At 40.2% G+C, this 18556-nt stretch overlaps 1 protein-coding gene across 8 annotated transcripts in view, besides 1 other annotated feature; it reads left to right on the top strand.

The window, feature by feature from the left end:
• Window positions 1-18556, top strand: part of MCOLN3 (mucolipin TRP cation channel 3) — a 30419-nt gene that overhangs the window by 9111 nt on the left and 2752 nt on the right. For 5 of the 8 annotated variants that reach the window (NM_001253693.2, NM_018298.11, XM_005271003.2 and 2 more), the window contains 9 exons: window positions 5139-5292; window positions 6434-6518; window positions 6598-6694; window positions 10185-10284; window positions 13106-13218; window positions 13302-13451; window positions 16990-17091; window positions 17198-17320; window positions 18114-18320. In NM_001253693.2, the coding sequence (NP_001240622.1) occupies window positions 5139-5292; window positions 6434-6518; window positions 6598-6694; window positions 10185-10284; window positions 13106-13218; window positions 13302-13451; window positions 16990-17091; window positions 17198-17320; window positions 18114-18320 (1131 nt within the window). Of the gene's footprint in view, window positions 1-2521; window positions 2681-5138; window positions 5293-6433; window positions 6519-6597; window positions 6695-10184; window positions 10285-13105; window positions 13219-13301; window positions 13452-13606; window positions 14834-16989; window positions 17092-17197; window positions 17321-18113; window positions 18321-18556 lie in introns of those variants that run through there. The other 3 variants (XM_047424403.1, XM_011541741.3, XM_047424402.1) reach the window with 3 other exon arrangements.
• Window positions 11482-11791: an enhancer, noted in NCBI's record as "active region_1265". NCBI's record gives its function as "activates an Ori minimal core promoter by ATAC-STARR-seq in GM12878 lymphoblastoid cells {active_cell/tissue: GM12878}" and the evidence as "EXISTENCE:reporter gene assay evidence [ECO:0000049][PMID:35858748]".

The following is an 18556-nucleotide window of genomic DNA, read 5'->3' as shown; positions in this document are numbered from 1 at the left end:
CAGAAGGACAAAATGGCCTGGCTAATTTCTCCCAGCCTTTTATAAGGCCAGTAGTCCTATTCATGATTGTTGACCTCCTAAAGACTCCACCTCTTAAGACTATCATATTGGGGTTTAATTTCCACCATAAGAACTTTGGAGGGACACATACATTCCATGTATGACTCCCTACTGTTGATTCCCTACTGTTTTCTAAGATGATTTACTGTTTTTCTAAGCACCAGTAGGTACTTTTAGCTGAAGATAAAAAGTGTCTTGATCAAAATTTTTATGAATAAGTAGGGTTTTGAGTGTTAATGAGGTCTAATGAGGTCAGTTCTCTTTCAGGCTTCTGAGAAATGAATAGAAAAAATGTGAGTTAATATTTTTTATTTTTTATTTTATTTTTTATTTTTGAGACAGGGTCTCACCATGTCACCCAGGCTGAAGTGCAGTGGCGCAATCTTGGCTCACTGCAACCTCTGCCTCCTGCGCTCAAGCAATTCTCCCATCTCAGCCTCCTGAGTAGCTGGGATTACAGGCTCCCGTCACTACCCCCAGCTAATTTTTTTTTGTATTTTTAGTAGAAGCAGGGTTTCGCCATATTAGCCAGACTGGTCTTGAACTCCTGACCTCAAGTGATCTGCCCGCCTTGGCCTCCCAAAGTGCTGGAATTACAGGTGTGAGCCACTGCACCTGGCCAAAATGTAAATTGTTATTAAAACAGGAAGGATCTTTGTTTTCTGTGAAGAAAGCATTTCTTTACTTAATAGTTGAGGTGATTGTTACTGAGAGGAACTGACAAATAGGGCAGTGGCATCTCAGTTCTTAGAAGCATATCCATGACTATTAGTTATCCCCAAGGGTTTAGCCCCAAGATGTCATCCTACTGGATAATCTCCAGGGCTCATTCTGATCCAATACTGTGATTATAACAGCACTACTGTTTATTATATATGTTTCTATATTTGAATGTGAGAGACCTTATTTTCTTTTTAGGCTGTCTCCTGGCTTTCCTCTTATTTCTTTAATAATTTTTGGGTCAGCTTTATTGGCTCCTTTTCTTTCATCTGCCTCTTAAATTTGAGCAGTCCTCAAAGCTTGGTCGTTTTCCTACAGAAATGTCCTCCACTACCCAGCCTCAGCCATCAGTATGATGAAGGGACTCCTAAGCAGTTGCCCACACTGCCAGACACCTACCTCACAAGCACCTCAGAACTGCCCATCCAAGAGCAGCTTCATATTCTCCTCCCACCCACTCCCTAGGCTGTTTCTTCCTTCTGGTCTTCTGGCTTAGGTTGAAAGGCCTCAGGGTCTTCCGGGAATCATTTATTCTTGCAGCTCAAACATAGTTTATAAATTCCTGTTTCTGGATGGCTTCCTTTCTTTCCTACCCACCCTGCCCTACCACCTCTTGCTTTTGGTGCCACAGCATTTAGCTAAGGACATTTAATGTGTTTTTATATTACCACTCAAAGGCTGACCTGGGACCCATGAATCTGACTGAAAACTCCTTCTCTCAAGGCAGAGCTGCAGAGACCAGGAGGGACGGATGCCCAGACTAATTAAAGCTCCTCCAAGGCCTCAGCCACTTGGCTGCTCTGTGCCGTCTCACCATTGTTAGTTCCACCAGTTAGTTCCAACCATCATCTCATACCACATTTCTGTCCCGTAACCCTCTGTCTTGGGCTCTAGAGCTGCCCTCTAGCTGGACACAGCCCTGCTGCTTCCCTAGATTACCCAGTTCTTGCCAGATGCTCAGACCTGCACAAAGAGCCATATGAAGAGCTCAAGGAAGTCTGGCTATAGCGTATATAGTTAATGTATATATTATATAACGTAACTATGTGGTGTATGTAGGTATAATGTGAACAGGTACCTGCAGCCGTGGGTCTCAGATCTTTCACAGTTCAAGAACTTAAAAGGTTTAAGACACAAGATTCTGTGGTCAGGAGGTTCAGACCTTTAGGTGATTCTTGTGGGGACTGCCCCACAATTACACCTGGACTCTGGGAGAGTTGTAGGCCCCATCACAGCTATGACTGTGCGTCGTGACCCCTGCTTGCCTTTCCCAGTTTACCTCCCATTACACATCATATGTTCTAGGCACACTGGTCTACTGGGTACCTTAAATGGAAAACAAAAATCTCAAAACTGAGTATCTCCAGCATTATTCTACTTTATCCCTATATGCCAAGCATAATGTTGTTTACTAGCTTAGGAAGCTTGCTTCTGTTACCATAGATTTCTGGCTCACTTTCCCAATCCTAATGCTAACAGAAAGCTTGGTGCCATAATCACCTATCTTATCCTAACAGTTTACCAACTCACTGTGCACAGATTAGCTCTAGTAATGAAGAGCTCCATCGCATTATTATAATTTTTCACCTCACCATTAATCTGACAAATATTTGAGCACCTACTGTGTGCCTGCAGGGCTGGTGTTAGAGCAGTGAATTGATAAATTCCCTGTCCTGTGGAACTTGCATTCTAATGGGGGAGATAGATTTTAAACAAGTTTAACTAAAATCTTTTGGTTTAGGGTAATGATAAGTGCTATGAAGAAAAATAAACTAGCATAAGGCAATAACAGTAGTCTCGGAGTGGTCAGAAAATGCCTTTCTGAAGACTTGAAATCTTGGGGAGAATATTTCAAGCTGAAGGCGTGGCAACAGAAGGCCCTGAAGCTGGAAAGCGTTTGGTATGTTTGAGAAAATGCGAGGGAGGCAAGTATGAGGGGGCAGAGTTAGGGCCAGGGGAGCTGGGGGCCAGGTCTCTCAGGACATGGAAAGGAGCCTTGAATGTTATTCTGAGAGAGACAGGAAGCCATGGAAGGGCTTTTGATAGGGGAGAGACAATGATAATATACATAAGCAAAATCTAACATGTATTCACTCAAATATTTATTAAATAGTATCTATTGGTTGGGTACGGTGGCTCATGCCTGTAATCCCAGCACTTTGGGAGGTTGAGGTGGGCAGATCACGAGGTCAGGAGATCGAGAACTTCCTGGCTAACATGGTGAAACCCTGTCTCTACTTCTACAAAAAAATTAGCCGGGTGTGGTAGCATGAGCCTGTACTCCCAGCTACTCAGGAGGCTGAGGCAGGAGAATTGCTTGAACCCAGGAGGCAGAGGTTGCAGTGAGCCGAGATCATGCCACTGCACTCCAGCCTGGGTGACAGAGCGAGACTCCCTCTCAAAAACAAAAACAAACAAAAATAGTATCTATTATGTATCAGGCACTTTTTGTGTGTGCAAGGGTACTGCAGTGAACAAATAAAGTCAAGGAGGTCATATTCTCATTGGAAGAGCCAGGTAGTAAATAAGTATAGAAGAGCATCATCTGTCAGTTTGTTATAAGTACTGTGAAATACAAAACAAAGCCAGCAAAGTGAATAGCTGGAGGTGGTTGGAGAAGGTCTCTCTGACAAGGTGACATGTAAGCAGACAGCAGACTAAAGAGAGAGCATGCAGCCTGTGTCTATCTCAAGGAAGAACCTTCCAGATAGGAAGAACAGTAAAAACAAGAGTCTTGAGCAGGTGTATTTTGGATATCACTGTTCTAAGAGCTGTACATGCATGAATTCATTCACTCTTTATAGCAATCCTATGAGTTCTAGATGGAGACTAGACTAAGGTGAGAGGGAGGATTGGAGAGGCAGAGGCTTAATTTTTTAGGGGAGAGAGGATGGTGGTTTGGACTGAGGCCATATCAGTGAAGGTGATGAGAGACAGTCCTATTTGTGGTGAAGAGGCTCAGATTTTTAAGTGATTCTTTTGCAGAGATAATTTGAAAGTCATGCATGACTTTCAGATGGACTGGAAGTGGAGTATAAGAGGAATTGACAAAAGGATCTTTCCTAAGTTTTGGCCTGAACAACTGACTGACTTACAGAATAATTTATTGAGAAGGGAATTACTATGGAAGAAGCAGGTGTTTCTGTTTGCCCATTTACTAGAGATTCCTCTTAGACACCATAGGCATCATGTAGGCAGATTGTCATCCATGTGTGGTATTCAGTGGAAAGGTCAGAGCTGAAGATGCAAATTTGGAAGCTGTCAGCATAGAGGTGGTATTTGAAATATGGGACTGGTTGAAGTCAGCTGTGGAGAGAATGTGGATAGAGGTCAAGGCCTGAACCCAAAGATAGGCCAAAATATAGAGGTTGGCAGTGGGAGGATTTCAGCAAAGGAGACCAAGAAGAAACAATCAGTGTCCCAGAAGTCAAGTAAAGAAAGTATTCCGTGTAGGAGGAGCATTCAACTGCATCAAATACCATGGAGATGTCAAGTTATAGGAGGACTGAGAACTAGGCATCAGATTTGGTAATACACTGCTCATTAGTGACCTTGACAAGGTCCAACTCAAAATCCATCCCATATTAGAAATTATTTTATTCATTTGTCATAGCATGCTTCACTCATATCTTTTAGCAGAATTATTTTCTATGTGTCGATCACACAAAGTTGTTCATTTCAAGAGTGACAGAATGACCAACTGTACCAGACATATTGCTCCAAAAACACTTTGTTTTGGAAACATGTCTGCAGACATCCATTAAGAATTTAAGATGACAGTTATTCCAAGGCACCGTAAGATTCTTACTTGTAAAAGTAATTTTTTTAAATGTAGAGGACCCACTAGGATAGGCAATATTGGTATAAAGGTGATTAAATTATAATCTTGCAAAGATAAAGGTTAAACCAATACTTTCTTTAAAAAAGGTTTTGCTGGCTAGCCTATAATAATTGTATCCCACTTCTTATACTACAGTGTTAAAGTAGAACTCTGACCTTACAGGAGATAGTTTAAAGATAAATATGTATTTACATTGAATATCACCTGAATTAAACATAATTCTTTAAGGGAGGAAAGAAATGCAAAGAGTATGTGGCTTCAGACTTTAATTTTACAGATCAGGAACTAGAAGGTCAGAAAGTTTGTCACAGAAATGAGGCTTGAATCTAGAACTCTAATTTGTGAGTGCCCTTTGCCTTCCTAGTGCACAGCAGCAAGTCACTTACCCTGTTTATCAAAGTGAATGTCTCTATCCCAAGGGAACCTGCCAGGATCAGAGGTGGGGAGGGAGGGGAGTTATGGCTTCACTCCTGCCCTGGCTGGCATTCCCATTTTCTGTTTCTCATTTTGGTTGAAGTACTTGCAGCTATACAATGTCTCCGTTGGGAATCATGCTTATGAGAACAAAGGTACCAAGCAATCTGCTATGGCAATCTGTCAGCACTTCTACAAGCGAGGAAACATCTACCCTGGAAATGATACCTTTGACATCGATCCAGAAATTGAAACTGGTGATGTTCTTCTATAACCTAGAACCTCAATTTTTAACACCTCAATTTATATTTAAAATTAGTAATTTCATCTTTGAAAACATTGATTTGGTCTGTGATATTAGGACATAGTAAGAATGATATACGAGTTATTATGTGTCAGGTACTGTTCTGAGCCCTTTACTATAACTCAAGAATCCTCAAGGAAACCCAGCAAGTCAAGGATTATTATTATCCCCTTTTATAGAAGACTAAATTATGGCTCAGAGAGTTAAATGATCTGCCAAAGATGGAGCTAGAAGAGGCAGTGCTGAAATTGGGCTCAGGCTGTTTGTGTTCTTAGCTATCGTATTCCACCATCTCTTGTGCAGGATATGCCAGTGAAGTATTAATAGATAGATATAATGTTTGTAAAACATTATGCTTGCAAACTCTTGGTATATATAAAACTCTCCTGCCCCAATACCACTTCACTATCATGCATCTTTGGGGGTAGATTGAAGGGGAGGAATGAAAATCAGAACATGGAATAGCATGGCGTATTCTTCTTAGCAAAGTTCTATTTGCAATTATGCCTAAAATATTAGCTTAGGTCATTGAGTTAAAAAATAAGTATTGAAATACTTTTAACAACAGCCACTAGGATTTTTTTTTCTAGAGATAATACTGATAACAGTACTGAAAGGGAAAACTTTCTAAAATGCTGTCTTCCTTTTTTGGTGTGTGTGTGGGATGTCTATTGAAGAAACATTGTTAGTGCATAATATTTTAAAAATAGATCCCTCAAACTGCTTAGAAAATATTACTGTAATTACTGCAAGTGCTTCAAATCCTATGCTTAGGATACAAAAAGGGGGAGGGACTCAAAGTTTATCTAGGCTTAAAAACGAAGACAGCATTTATATAACATTAATGAAATAGAGTTCAGATCTTTGTCTAGCCTCCATCCACTCCAGAAATGTAGCCACTTAGGTCTTAAAAACACATGAGTCACGGTAACCATGTGGTATCAATGTTTATTTAGCTTTTAAAATTTTAATTCAGAAAAATAATAGAATCTGAAAAATAATAGAATCTGAATAACTGGTCTTAAATGTATCAGCCTTTCAAAATGCAGTCTTATTTAAGTACTGTATCATGTTTTTGTTCCTTTCTATGGCAGAGTGTTTCTTTGTGGAGCCAGATGAACCTTTTCACATTGGGACACCAGCAGAAAATAAACTGAACTTAACACTGGACTTCCACAGGTGAGGGGAGCAGACAGGAGTGTAACTTACGTTTGCACGTATATATTGCCACAGAACTAAAATCACCTCTGTTTTCTAGACTCCTAACAGTGGAGCTTCAGTTTAAACTGAAAGCCATTAATCTGCAGACAGTTCGTCATCAAGAACTCCCTGACTGTTATGACTTTACTCTGACTGTAAGTGTGGGCCAGGCTGAATTTGGTTCCAGTCTGGAGAAAAATTGTTTTATCTGGTAATGTTTCATATCCTTGGATTACGGTGTGATAAAAAAATATAGGATGTTTTCACTTGAATGTGCATAAGGGAAGCATTGATACATCTAGCTCTATTTTGCTATAATAACAAGTTTACTTGTTAGTTATGTCTTCTACACCTCTGTATAAGTTCTAGAAAAGCAGGGACCTTGTTTTGTTCACTACTATTTCCAGTACCACGAACAGTGCCTGGTATAGATTTTCAAACCCAAAAGGAATAGGTGTTTTTAGGTTCTGTGTGGTTGGCTCTCAGCAATCTATGGCTGGCTGTCAGCTAAAGGTTACTGCCAAGGGTTCTTGTTACTTAGTGTCTTCACCATGGATGTTTCCATGTTTGGGGTTTGTAGTATACATCTTTAACTTATTACAGTCTACCTTCAAGTTATACCACTGCACACAGTGTAAGAACCTTACGACAATGTACTTCCATTTCTCCCATCTTGGCCCTCATGCTATTGTGGCCATATAATGTATTTCTACATGTGTTATAAACCCACAATATATGTTATTAATCTCTCTCTCTCTCTCTCTCTTCTTTTTTTGAGACAGAGTCTCGCTCTGTCACCTAGGCTGGAGTGCAGTGGCGCGATCTCGGCTCACTGCAAGCTCCGCCTCCCGGGTTCACGCCATTCTCCTGCCTCAGCCTCCTGAGTAGCTGGGACCACAGGCGTCCGCCACCATGCCCGGCTAATTTTTTGTATTTTTTTTTAGCAGAGACGGGGTTTCACCGCGTTAGCCAGGATGGTCTCGATCTTCTGACTTCGTGATCCACCTGCCTCAGCCTCCCGAAGTGCTGGGATTACAGGCGTGAGCCACCGTGCCCAGCCTATTTTTTCTTTAAACAGTCAATTATCTTTTAAAGTGATTTAAATAATAATAAAAACATTTTTTTATTTGCCCATGTAGCTACCATTTCCAGTGTGCTTCATTCTGTGTGTAGCTCCCAGTTTGTATCTGGTATTATTTTCCTTCTGCCTGAAGGGCTTCCTGCAACATTTCTTACAGTGCAGGTCTGCACTTTCAGCTTTTGTATGTTTAAAAAAGTATTTTGCCTTCCTTTTTAAAGTTCTTATTAGCATCTTTTAAATAAAAATTTTACGAATACGTATTTATGGGGTACAGGTGATATTTTGATGCCAGCATTCAGTGTGTAATGATGAAATAAGGGTAATTGGGACAACATTCACCACCTCAAATATTTACCACTTTTTTATGTTGAGAATATTCTAAATCTACTCCTCTATTTATATTGAAATATAAAATAAATTATTAACTATAGTTGCCATATTGTGCTACTAAACACTAGATCTTATTTCTCCCATCTCACTGTATTTTTTTTTTTTTTTTTGAGATGGATTCTCGCTCCATTGCCAGGCTGGAGTGCAGTGGTGTGATCTTGGCTCACTGCAACCTCTGCCTCCCGGGTTCAAGCGATTCTCCTGCCTCAGCCTCCGGAGTAGCTGGGACTACAGGCACACGTTACCACGCCCAGCTAGTTTTTGTATTTTTAGTAGAGATGGGGTTTCACCATGTTGGCCAGGATGGTCTTGATCTCTTGACCTCGTGATCCACCCACCTCGGCCTCCCAAAGTGCTGGAATTACAGGCATGAGCCACCGTGCCCGGCCCTCACTGTATCTCTATACCTATTAACGAACTCTTATTTATCCCCCACGCCTCCCCAATACCCTTTCTAGCCTCTGGTAACCATTATTCTATTCCAAGCCTTCCTTTGCTAAAGGTAGTTTCCTTGGCTATAGAATTGTAGGTTGACTGTTTTTTTCTTTAGCACTTTAAAGATGTTGCTTCTAGCTTGCATTATTTCTAATGAGAAATCTGCTGTCATCTTTATCTTTGTTCTTATCTATGGGATGTTATTTCCCATCTGTTGGCTTTTAAATTTTTCCTTTATCTCTTACTTTAAAACAATTTGATTGTGAAATGCTTTGATGGTGTTTTCTTAATGTTTCCTGTGTTTAAGGTTCATTGAGCATCTTGGATCTGTAGGTTTATAGTTGTCATTATATTTGATATTTATTCAGCATGATTTTCTTAAAATATATTTGTCACTTCCCCCCACCTTTTCAGAGATTCAGAGACAAAAACGTCTGTATTTGGTTACTTGGAGTTGTCCCATAGTTCAGTAATGATCTGTTTGTTTTATGTCTCAGTTTTTTTCAGTGTGTTTCATTTTGGATATTTTCTGTTGCTATATTTTCAAATTCACTGTTTTTTCTTCTGTGCTATCTAATGTTTTCTAATCCCATCCATTATTTTTCTTCTTTCTTTGGGATTCAGTTTACTGAGATGTGATTGACATTAAGTCCCAGTTTTTTACTCAATAGATATTTAGTGAGCACCTATTATTTGTACAAGTTGGAGGCCCTTTGTGTAGGAAAAGCATGGCTTCTCCGTAGCAAGGATTTCTGACTCAATCAAGTAACACTGAGCGTCCTCCTTGCACGAGGCCATAGGCTGGGTCTTGCAGCCGTTAGGGATATGGGCAGACACTGACTGTGCCCTCAGTTGCTTGTCAAAGAAAGAAGCTTACAATCCCTCATGAGGAGAAATACAGTGGTTGAACTTTTAAAAGTCATTTGAAATCTTATATTTGAAGTGTTTCTGATTACCCCATATGGAGAAGCTTCAATACAATTTATTTAAATGACAAAGTTTTCAAAGAACTTTTTTTCTTCAGGACTTGAGAGAAAGAGAAGAGGCAGAAATGAAACGGATTGATTTTCTTGCCTTGCCTTCCCTGTCCTTGCATAAGGAAGACAGTAGGAAAACTATGGAAGGTGTTCTGGCCTAGCTTTGTCCTGCTTGGCCCCTGGTGTCCTGAAGTGGTTATTCTTGAAGCAAGATGTGACTGTTGACTCCCTGTCACCAAACCCTTTATAATACATGTAGTGCCAACGTGACTAAGAAATCTAGGCCCAGAATAAAAATCAAAAAAGCTCCACTTGAAATGTCTCAAAGCAGAAATAATGAGCCTTTGTATTAGTAAGAATTATAGCAGCACTAAAAATCTACCCCTAACTGAGGTCCTGCCGGAATTTGGGAGAAAGCACAGTTGTACCAGTTCTTGCTCACATGAAGAAGGTATCTGGAGGTACTTAGAACAGAGAGCAAGAGGAAGTGCTCTTGTTATATAAGTTCTTTGGAGTGGAAATGCTGCCCTAGACATATAATGTTTTAGAGACTACAGGGTCTCTGTAGAAGATCTAGTTCATCGTTCTCATTTCACAGAGAAATGAAGAGAACTTCCCATGGTTGAACAGAATTAGCAACAGATCAGAGTTGAGAATCTGGGTCTCCTGTCCCCTTGAAAGAATTGTTTCCTAATTAATGTGTAGAGGTTTCTTGGCTCCAAAACTATAAGTATGTTTTTGACTGTTTTCCTGTCTTCACAGATAACATTTGACAACAAGGCCCATAGTGGAAGAATTAAAATAAGTTTAGATAATGACATTTCCATCAGAGAATGTAAAGACTGGCATGTATCTGGATCAAGTAAGTGATGCGCATTACTAGTTTTCAGAATGGTTATTAAATAATGTAAAATGGTTATTAAAATAGCACCCTCTGGATATCTAGAACAACAAATAGAAGATTAGACCATTTTCAAGTCCCTAAACCTCTACAAGTAGATCAACTCTGATGTTTCAGGCAATATGTGAGTCATGAATAACTGAAATGGCCTTCCTCTCCTTGTGCCCTCACTTGCCCACTCCTGACCAAGAATGTACTCACAGTCCCCCGCCACCAAAACCCTACATACATCTTCCCAGACCAACACTTACCGAGTGCATGCTGTGTACCTACTTCCACCTTAGTTTTCTTCATTTTAATATTTTTAAATGCCCTTAAGATAGGGAGAATCCTTATTTTTACAGATGAAGAAACTAAGGCTCAGAAGCCAGGGGCAAGTCAGGTAGGATGTGACCCTGCAGCATCCCACATATTATGATTGTCTTCAGTCCATTTAAAAGTGTACTGAAAGAGGAAAGGATCTACTCTTAGAAATATGGACAAAAATTCAGGTGTAGACCAAATACTGTCAAGAATTTTGGAGCTGAACTGGAGAGAATTGCCTGGAAAGAATTTATCTAATTTTCTAGTCTCTCATAAGTGACATAATGGTACATCGTACTGGACTTAATGGTCGCTAGATGAGGAGTTCTCAGATTCTAATCAGCAGAAGAATCATCCTGGGTACCTGCTATGATGCAGTTTCCCCAGCTCTATGCAAGCCAGTAGGTCTGGGGTGGGGCCTAGAAATGTGTAAATAGTCCTTACTCAGACTATACTTGGATAATCACAGTTCTAAAGTTTCTTACTAATTGATTTGCCAAGTTCAGACGTAATAATGAGATAGAGTAAATAAAATGAAATTTTGCCATGATAGTATTTTTTTCACTAATAGGTAACTTCAAATATATGAGGCTCTTGAGTCACATTTGAAACATAAGCCTGTTTTGTCATCTGTATACTTTATAATCATTCTCCACAAACACCAGAATGAGGAAAATGACAGCATACACAAGTGTCTGGCACCTAGGCATTCTCTCAAATGTTTGTTTCTTAATTTGTAAGTTTCTCTAAAGTCAATTTAGACATTTATGTAGTAATTATGCTCCTTGGCAGATACTAATGGGATGCTTCATCACAGAGCTAGTTTTAAGTACTTTCTTTTTTTTGTCAGCAGAGAGCAGTCTAACTTGTTAAATAGAGACAAGCTCTGTGGCAGTGTACAATGGCTGACACCTCTGCCCACCTCTCTCCATTGGCTCCACGCATGGTGGCCAGGACTTCGCACTTTCGATTCTCCAAAATCTCCATAAGGGTGGCTCTTTCTTATCACTCAGGTTTCAGCTAAAACCCCCTGCTCCCTCAGTGAGGCCTTCCTTTACTATGCAATATAAATCAACCTCTCTGCTTCCACATTGCCCGACACTAACCTCCCTCATATAGAGCAGTAGGTCTCAAACTTTAGCATCACCTGGAGGGCTTGCAGAAACCCAGTTTCTGATTCAGTGGGTCTGGAGTAGGACCTGAGAATGTGCATCTCTAACAAGCTCCCAAAAAATGCCAAGAACCACTGACATAGAGTGATGGACACTGGAAACAAACTGCACAGATTTTCCCCCAGCTCTTTCACTGACTAGCCCTGCAACTGTGGGGAAATCATGTGACCTCTCTGTGCTTCAGGTTTCTCGCCTGCAAAGTGGGGATAATCATGCTTACCTCATTGGAGTTGCTGTGAAGATCAAATAGGTTAACACATATAAAGTGTTTAGAGCTATGTTTGGCAAGAAATGTGCTCAATACATGTTAGCTATTGTGATTTATCTTCTTTCTATTACTTACTCCTATCTGAAAGTATTTTGTTATGTGTTTGTTTACTTCTTTGTAGTAGAATAGAAGTTCCACAGATCAAGGGCCTTGTCTATCTTGTTCACCACTGTATCCTAACATCTAGAAAAATGCCTGACACATAGTGAATGCATAATAAATATTTTATACCTAGATAAGTACATTTTAATAGAATATGCAGGGAGATGGGCCTGGGCATGGTGGCTCATGTCTGTAATCTCAGCACTTTGGGAGGCTGAGGTGAGAGGATCACTTGAGACCAGGAGTTCAAGACCAACCATGGCAACAAAGTGAAACCCTGTCTCTACAAAAAAATTAAAAATTAGCCCGGTATGGTGGCATACCTATAGTTCCAGCTACGAGGGAGGCTGAGGAAAAAAAAAAAGAATATGCAGGGAGGTAATTGTATTAAGAACAAAAGACTACAGGCTTATAATTAAAGATCTTGGAATGATAGTTGTGGTGATTTTTCTTTTTTTTTTTTTTGAGATGGAGTCTCGCTCTGTCACCCAGCCTGGAGTACAGTGGCATGATCTTGGCTCACTGCAAACTCCACCTTCCAGGTCCACGCCATTCTGCTGCCTCAGCCTCCCAAGTAGCTGGGACTACAGGCGCTCACCACCATGCCCGGCTAATTTTTTTGTATTTTTAGTAGAGACAGGGTTTCACCGCATTGGCCAGGATGGTCTTGATCTCCTGACCTTGTGATCCGCCTGCCTCGGCCTCCCAAAGTGCTGGGATTACAGGCATGAGCCACCACACCCAGCCTCAGTTGTGGTGATTTTTTAAAAGAAAGACTTTTGCCCTTCTTCAAATACTAATTGGAAGACCGTTTATCAGGGCTTCTTTGTTGTCTTACCAGAAAGAATGCTTGAATTATTTAAATGATTCTAAAAAGAAGATGTCACCATATTAATGTCCCACTACATAAGCACTATGTAATCCTCTTTGCTTTCAGTTCAGAAGAACACTCATTACATGATGATCTTTGATGCCTTTGTCATTCTGACTTGCTTGGTTTCATTAATCCTCTGCATTAGATCTGTGATTAGAGGACTTCAGCTTCAGCAGGTAGGGAACGTTGCTTTCTAGGAATGCTACTGACATTTTGATTGACAGAGACATTCACTGTGCCTCCCCTCTTTTCCCTAAAGGAGTTTGTCAATTTTTTCCTCCTCCATTATAAGAAGGAAGTTTCTGTTTCTGATCAAATGGAATTTGTCAATGGATGGTACATTATGATTATTATTAGTGACATATTGACAATCATTGGATCAATTCTAAAAATGGAAATCCAAGCTAAGGTAATTTTTTTCCTAATCATGCTATTGTTAGTGTCAGATTTGCACTAATGGTAATGTATTTTTCCAGAATGTAAGAATTTTCAGAATGAATTGTTTCTTCCAAACTGTATATCAAGTAGACTTGAAATTGGTAATGGTAATTTTCTTAAATCTAGTCAGGAGGTCTCTTAGGCAGAGTTTTTCAAAGTGTGATCCACAAACCATTGCATCAGAATCATTGGGTGCCTGGTAAAGTGTACCATGTTAGACCTACTGAATTCAGACTCTTCGGCGGGGCCTGTGAATTCTTACACACACCAAAATTCATACACAACCAAGGTAACTAAGGTAAGAGTTTTTTTTTTTTTTTTAATCTTACAAGAAATGCTCGAATCTTTAACAAAAATGAGTGGGGCTATAGGGGAAAGTGAGGTCAAGGCACTATGGTGTGCATGCTTGCATTTGTTTCCTCCGTCCATTCAAAGTGAGAATGCTCCCATTTTCTTACTTTACCATTGATGTGCTACAAGCTTATTTATTTTAAGACTAACCTAGCCTAAAAATCAACTGTCCCCACAAAATAAAAATCACATTAAAAAAACTAATAGTGTTCAGACTAATCTTGCTCAAACTTATGTTTCCCTAGTCTTGATGCAACTGATTGAGTCACCTGGGGAGTTGGTTATAAACCTGGGCAGAGACCCCAAATGCAATGGCTCAGAGAAGATAGGAGCTTATTTCTGTCTTATGCAATAGTCAGAATGGGTTTTACAGACTGGTGAGTAGCTCAACATCTCACAGTCATTCAGGCACCCATGTTCCTCCCATTTTGTTTCTCTGCCACCCCTTAAGGACTTGCCCTGACTGCATGATTATTGCCGTGTTGCCTCAAACAGGTTGCAGCTTATGGGAAGCAAAAACACGGTATGGTAGAAGCTCTCCCATAGACTGATGGCTTGGCTCAAGAGTGGCCGACTTTATTTCTGTACATATCCCACTGGATAGAATTTAGTCAATCCTAACTGCAGAGGGAGCCAGGGAACACAGCCCAGGCATGTGCCTAGGAAGGGGAGAATGGGTTTAGGTTGACACTTAGCAGCTGCCACTATATGTGGCTATAGTATGTATCATTGGAATAGATGTTTAACTTTAGGGACAAATAAAAAACCAAAACAAAAAAAGGAGTAAGGGGAGAGATTTGCAGCAAATCTTTATTTTTACCAACCTCAACTATCATTAATTTCAGTGAACCCTAAATGGTATCCAACAAAATATCTTTCTAGACCATTCACCGTCTCTGCCTCATAGATGATCATATCATGTTTTCTTCTCTTCTGAAACCTCTAATACCCTTGTCCTATCCTCATTCTAAGCTGATGACCTTACTTCCTATTTCACAAAAATAATAGAAAAAAAAAACAGAATTTCCACAAACCCCCACCTAATTTATCTGCCTCCTGCCATCAGTGCCAATATACTGTGCTTTTCTTCTGTGGATACATTATTTAGGCCACTATTCAGGGCCAACCCCTCCACCTGCCTACTAGAGGCCATCACCACTTGTTTATTCAAGGGCACAGCTCCAGGTAGTTTTCCTTCTCTTGGGGATCATCAGTTTCCTTCTGTCTACCAGGTCATTCCCATTAGCATGTTTTTGCCGCTTTTCTTAAGAGATAATATCTCAACCCTAATTCCTCCCGCTAACTTACTACCATCATTTATTTAGTAAAATATCTCAAAAAAGTAGTTAATCTTGTTGTTTCTGATTCTGCTCCTCCCCTCCCCCACCTGTTTTTTTTAAGAGACAGGATTTCACTCTATTGCCCAGGCTGGAGTGCAGTGGCGCGATTATAGCTCACTGCAGCCTCAAACTCCCGGGCTCAAGCAATCCTCCCACCTCACAGCCCCCCAAAATCTCATTCTTTCGGTGTCTGTTCCAATCAGGCTGCCCTGCCACTCCAAGGAAAGTGTTCTTTTCAGTGTCCTCTCATGCTGATAAGTCCAATAACCAACTATGTACCCTCATGCTGACCTAGCAGCAGCTTTGAATACTGCCAAGCACTCCCTTTTTGTTGACATGCTTTCAATGGACTATCACCTGGTTTTCCTCCTAAGTCACTGGCTGGTCTTCTGACTTTGCTGGTTCCCTCACATCTCACCAACCTATTAAGGTGATAATGCTTCAAGGCATAGTGCTTGGACATCTTCTCTTTTCTGCCACTGTCTTGGTAATCTCATCCTGTCCCACAGCTTAGTATCTATATGCCAATGATTCCCAAATCTATACCCCCACTTAGAATTCTTCCCTGAACTCCAGATTCGCATATCCACCATTTAGTCTATATCTCCACTTGGATGTCTGCTTTTCCTCTCAAATTTAACACACCTAAAACAGAACATCTAAAGCCCCCACCTCTGCAGTCAAAACCTGCTTTTCCCATAGCCTTTCAAATTTCGGTTAATGGTAACTCTCATCAGTTACTCAAGCCAAAAATCTTGGATTCATCACAGACTCCTCTCTTTCACTAATCTCTTCTTTCCCACATCTAATCCAAGAGGAAATCCTATTGTTCTACCTTCATTGGCCAGGCACTGTGACTCATATAATCCCAGCACATTGGGAGGCTGAGGCGGGAGGATGGCTTGAGCCCAGGAGTTCCAGACCAGCCTGGGAAACATAGTGAGACCCCATCTCTACAAAAAATTAAAAAAATTAGCAGTCAAGGTGGCATGTGTCTGTAATCCAAGCTACTTGGGAGGCTAAGGTGGGAGGATTTCTTGAGCACAGGAAGTCGAGGCTGCATTGAGCCACAATTGTGCCACGGCACTCCAGCCTGGGTGACAGAGTGAGACCCCTGTTTCCAAAAAAAAAAAAAAAAAAAAAAGAATAAAAATCACCTGGTCAACTCCACTATTACCAGCCTGGTCCAAGCTACTATCTCTCATTTATATTATTGCAATAGCATCCTCACTCCTCCAACAACCTGCTGTCAACCACAGCAGCCAACATCTGATCATATCACTTCTGTTTGTGGTTCTCAAATCTCCCCAATTGAGTTACAGTAAAAGACAAACTTGGTGAGTGCCACCTTATCTCTATAACTGTATACCCTTTCTATTGCTCACTCCAGCCAGATGCAATATCCTTGCCAAGCACCCTCCTGTCTCAGGGCCTTTGCACTTGCCAGTCCCTGTGCCTGGAAGGCTTCTCCCCTAGATTTTTGCATGACTTCTCCCTCCCTCCCTTCAGATCTTTGCTCAAATGCCTTCTTTTTAGTGTATGTAAAATGACAAACCCATACCCATTCCTTATCCCCTCCTCTGAATTTTCTCTTCAGCAATTATCAGCAGCAAGTGTCCCAAAGTTTCTATTAACTTATTTCTGTTGTCTCTTTCTTCCCTCCACTAGAATGTAAGCTTTATGAGAGCAGAGACTTTTGTTTGTTCACTGCTTTATCCTTAGCACCTAAAACAGTGCCTTACTCATACTTACCTCAATATTTATTGCCAAATGAATTTCTGCTTTATAATCTGATTATATTTTTCCACTCTCTCTTAGAGTCTAACTAGTTATGATGTCTGTAGCATACTTCTTGGGACTTCTACCATGCTCGTGTGGCTTGGAGTCATCCGATACCTCGGTTTCTTTGCAAAGTACAACGTAAGGAATTCCACGGATCTCCATGCTGTTGGTATTTCTCTCAAAGTTATTGCACTGCTTTGGCTAAAGGACAAAACCATTCTAATGGCCTCTCTTACTTTCCCAGCTCCTCATTTTGACCCTTCAGGCAGCGCTGCCCAATGTCATCAGGTTCTGCTGCTGTGCAGCTATGATTTACTTAGGTTACTGCTTCTGTGGATGGATCGTGCTGGGGCCTTACCATGACAAGGTACTGATAAACAACTTTTTTCCTGTTACTATTAAGCTTTTAGCATAGTGCCAGTGGCTTGTTATCCTTTTTCAATGAACTCCTTTTATTTTGTGATTCAGCCTTAAAATGTTGAAGGTAGTATATCTAGTGCCATATTTATAAAGTGAAAGGGTGTGACCAGCTTGAGAGAATATTTGATGTACTCAACTGTCTCACATTCTTTCTTGCAATATATCAGGTAATTAAGTCCCGTTTACCACCAGTGAAGTCAAGTTTAGTCAATTTGATTCATCGATATATCCAAAAGCAGTCTCTTCAGATAAGCCTTCTCAAAATGTGACATTATTTAAAAAGTAGCATAGGGGGAAACTTGTAGAAATATTTGAAAATTTTATTACTAGAGCTATAGTCTGGAATATTATGCTCTTATCTTAAATGAAATGAACTTTAAAATGAGATGTATGAGCATGCATGGTTGGGACCTGGGTATCTCTGCACAGGCATTTCAAGGTCTCTTTAAGGTAAAGGGCAGATGCAAGGCTTGATTCAAAAAAGCACTGAGGGTGCAGAGCAGCTCCTACATTTGATTTAGGCTAGTTTAAGAGAAAGCTGCTTGTCTCAGGAAAAAATAGTAGGCTTATTTATGTTATATGCATCACAAAGCAAATGTGTGTGGTTACCTCAGGTTATTTGTTTGAAAATGGTAGCTTGGGTTATCTGGTCCCTTTATGTTTAATACAATGTCATGAACAAAGGTCTCCAATGGGAAGGAACATGGAATAAAGTGAACTTTTCTCTTTTCTTTTTCCAGTTTCGTTCTCTGAACATGGTCTCTGAGTGCCTTTTCTCTCTGATAAATGGAGATGATATGTTTGCCACGTTTGCAAAAATGCAGCAAAAAAGTTACTTAGTCTGGCTGTTTAGTAGAATTTACCTCTACTCATTCATCAGCCTCTTTATATATATGATTTTAAGTCTTTTCATTGCACTGATCACTGATACATACGAAACAATTAAGGTAGGTTTATCAAGAGCCATAAGTAGTAGCATTGTCCTATAACTTGTAGAGTAGCAGTAAAATTCAGTACCTAATGGTAGAAGAAAAGTTGATGGAATGTTAATTTCTTCAGGATAGAGAAAAAGGACCTTATTTTTAGAAATTGATAAATAGAACTAGTGGAAAAATTGAATGTTGAAAGTCTTAGTCTCTAAGTAGTTATACTTTCTCACACAAGCTTTCTAACCTTTTATTAG

The sequence above is a fragment of the Homo sapiens genome, chromosome 1 (assembly GCF_000001405.40).
Source record: "Homo sapiens chromosome 1, GRCh38.p14 Primary Assembly".
NCBI lineage: Eukaryota > Metazoa > Chordata > Mammalia > Primates > Hominidae > Homo > Homo sapiens.
Note: the sequence above shows the minus strand (reverse complement) of the source record. Positions and strands in the feature narration are given on the sequence as shown.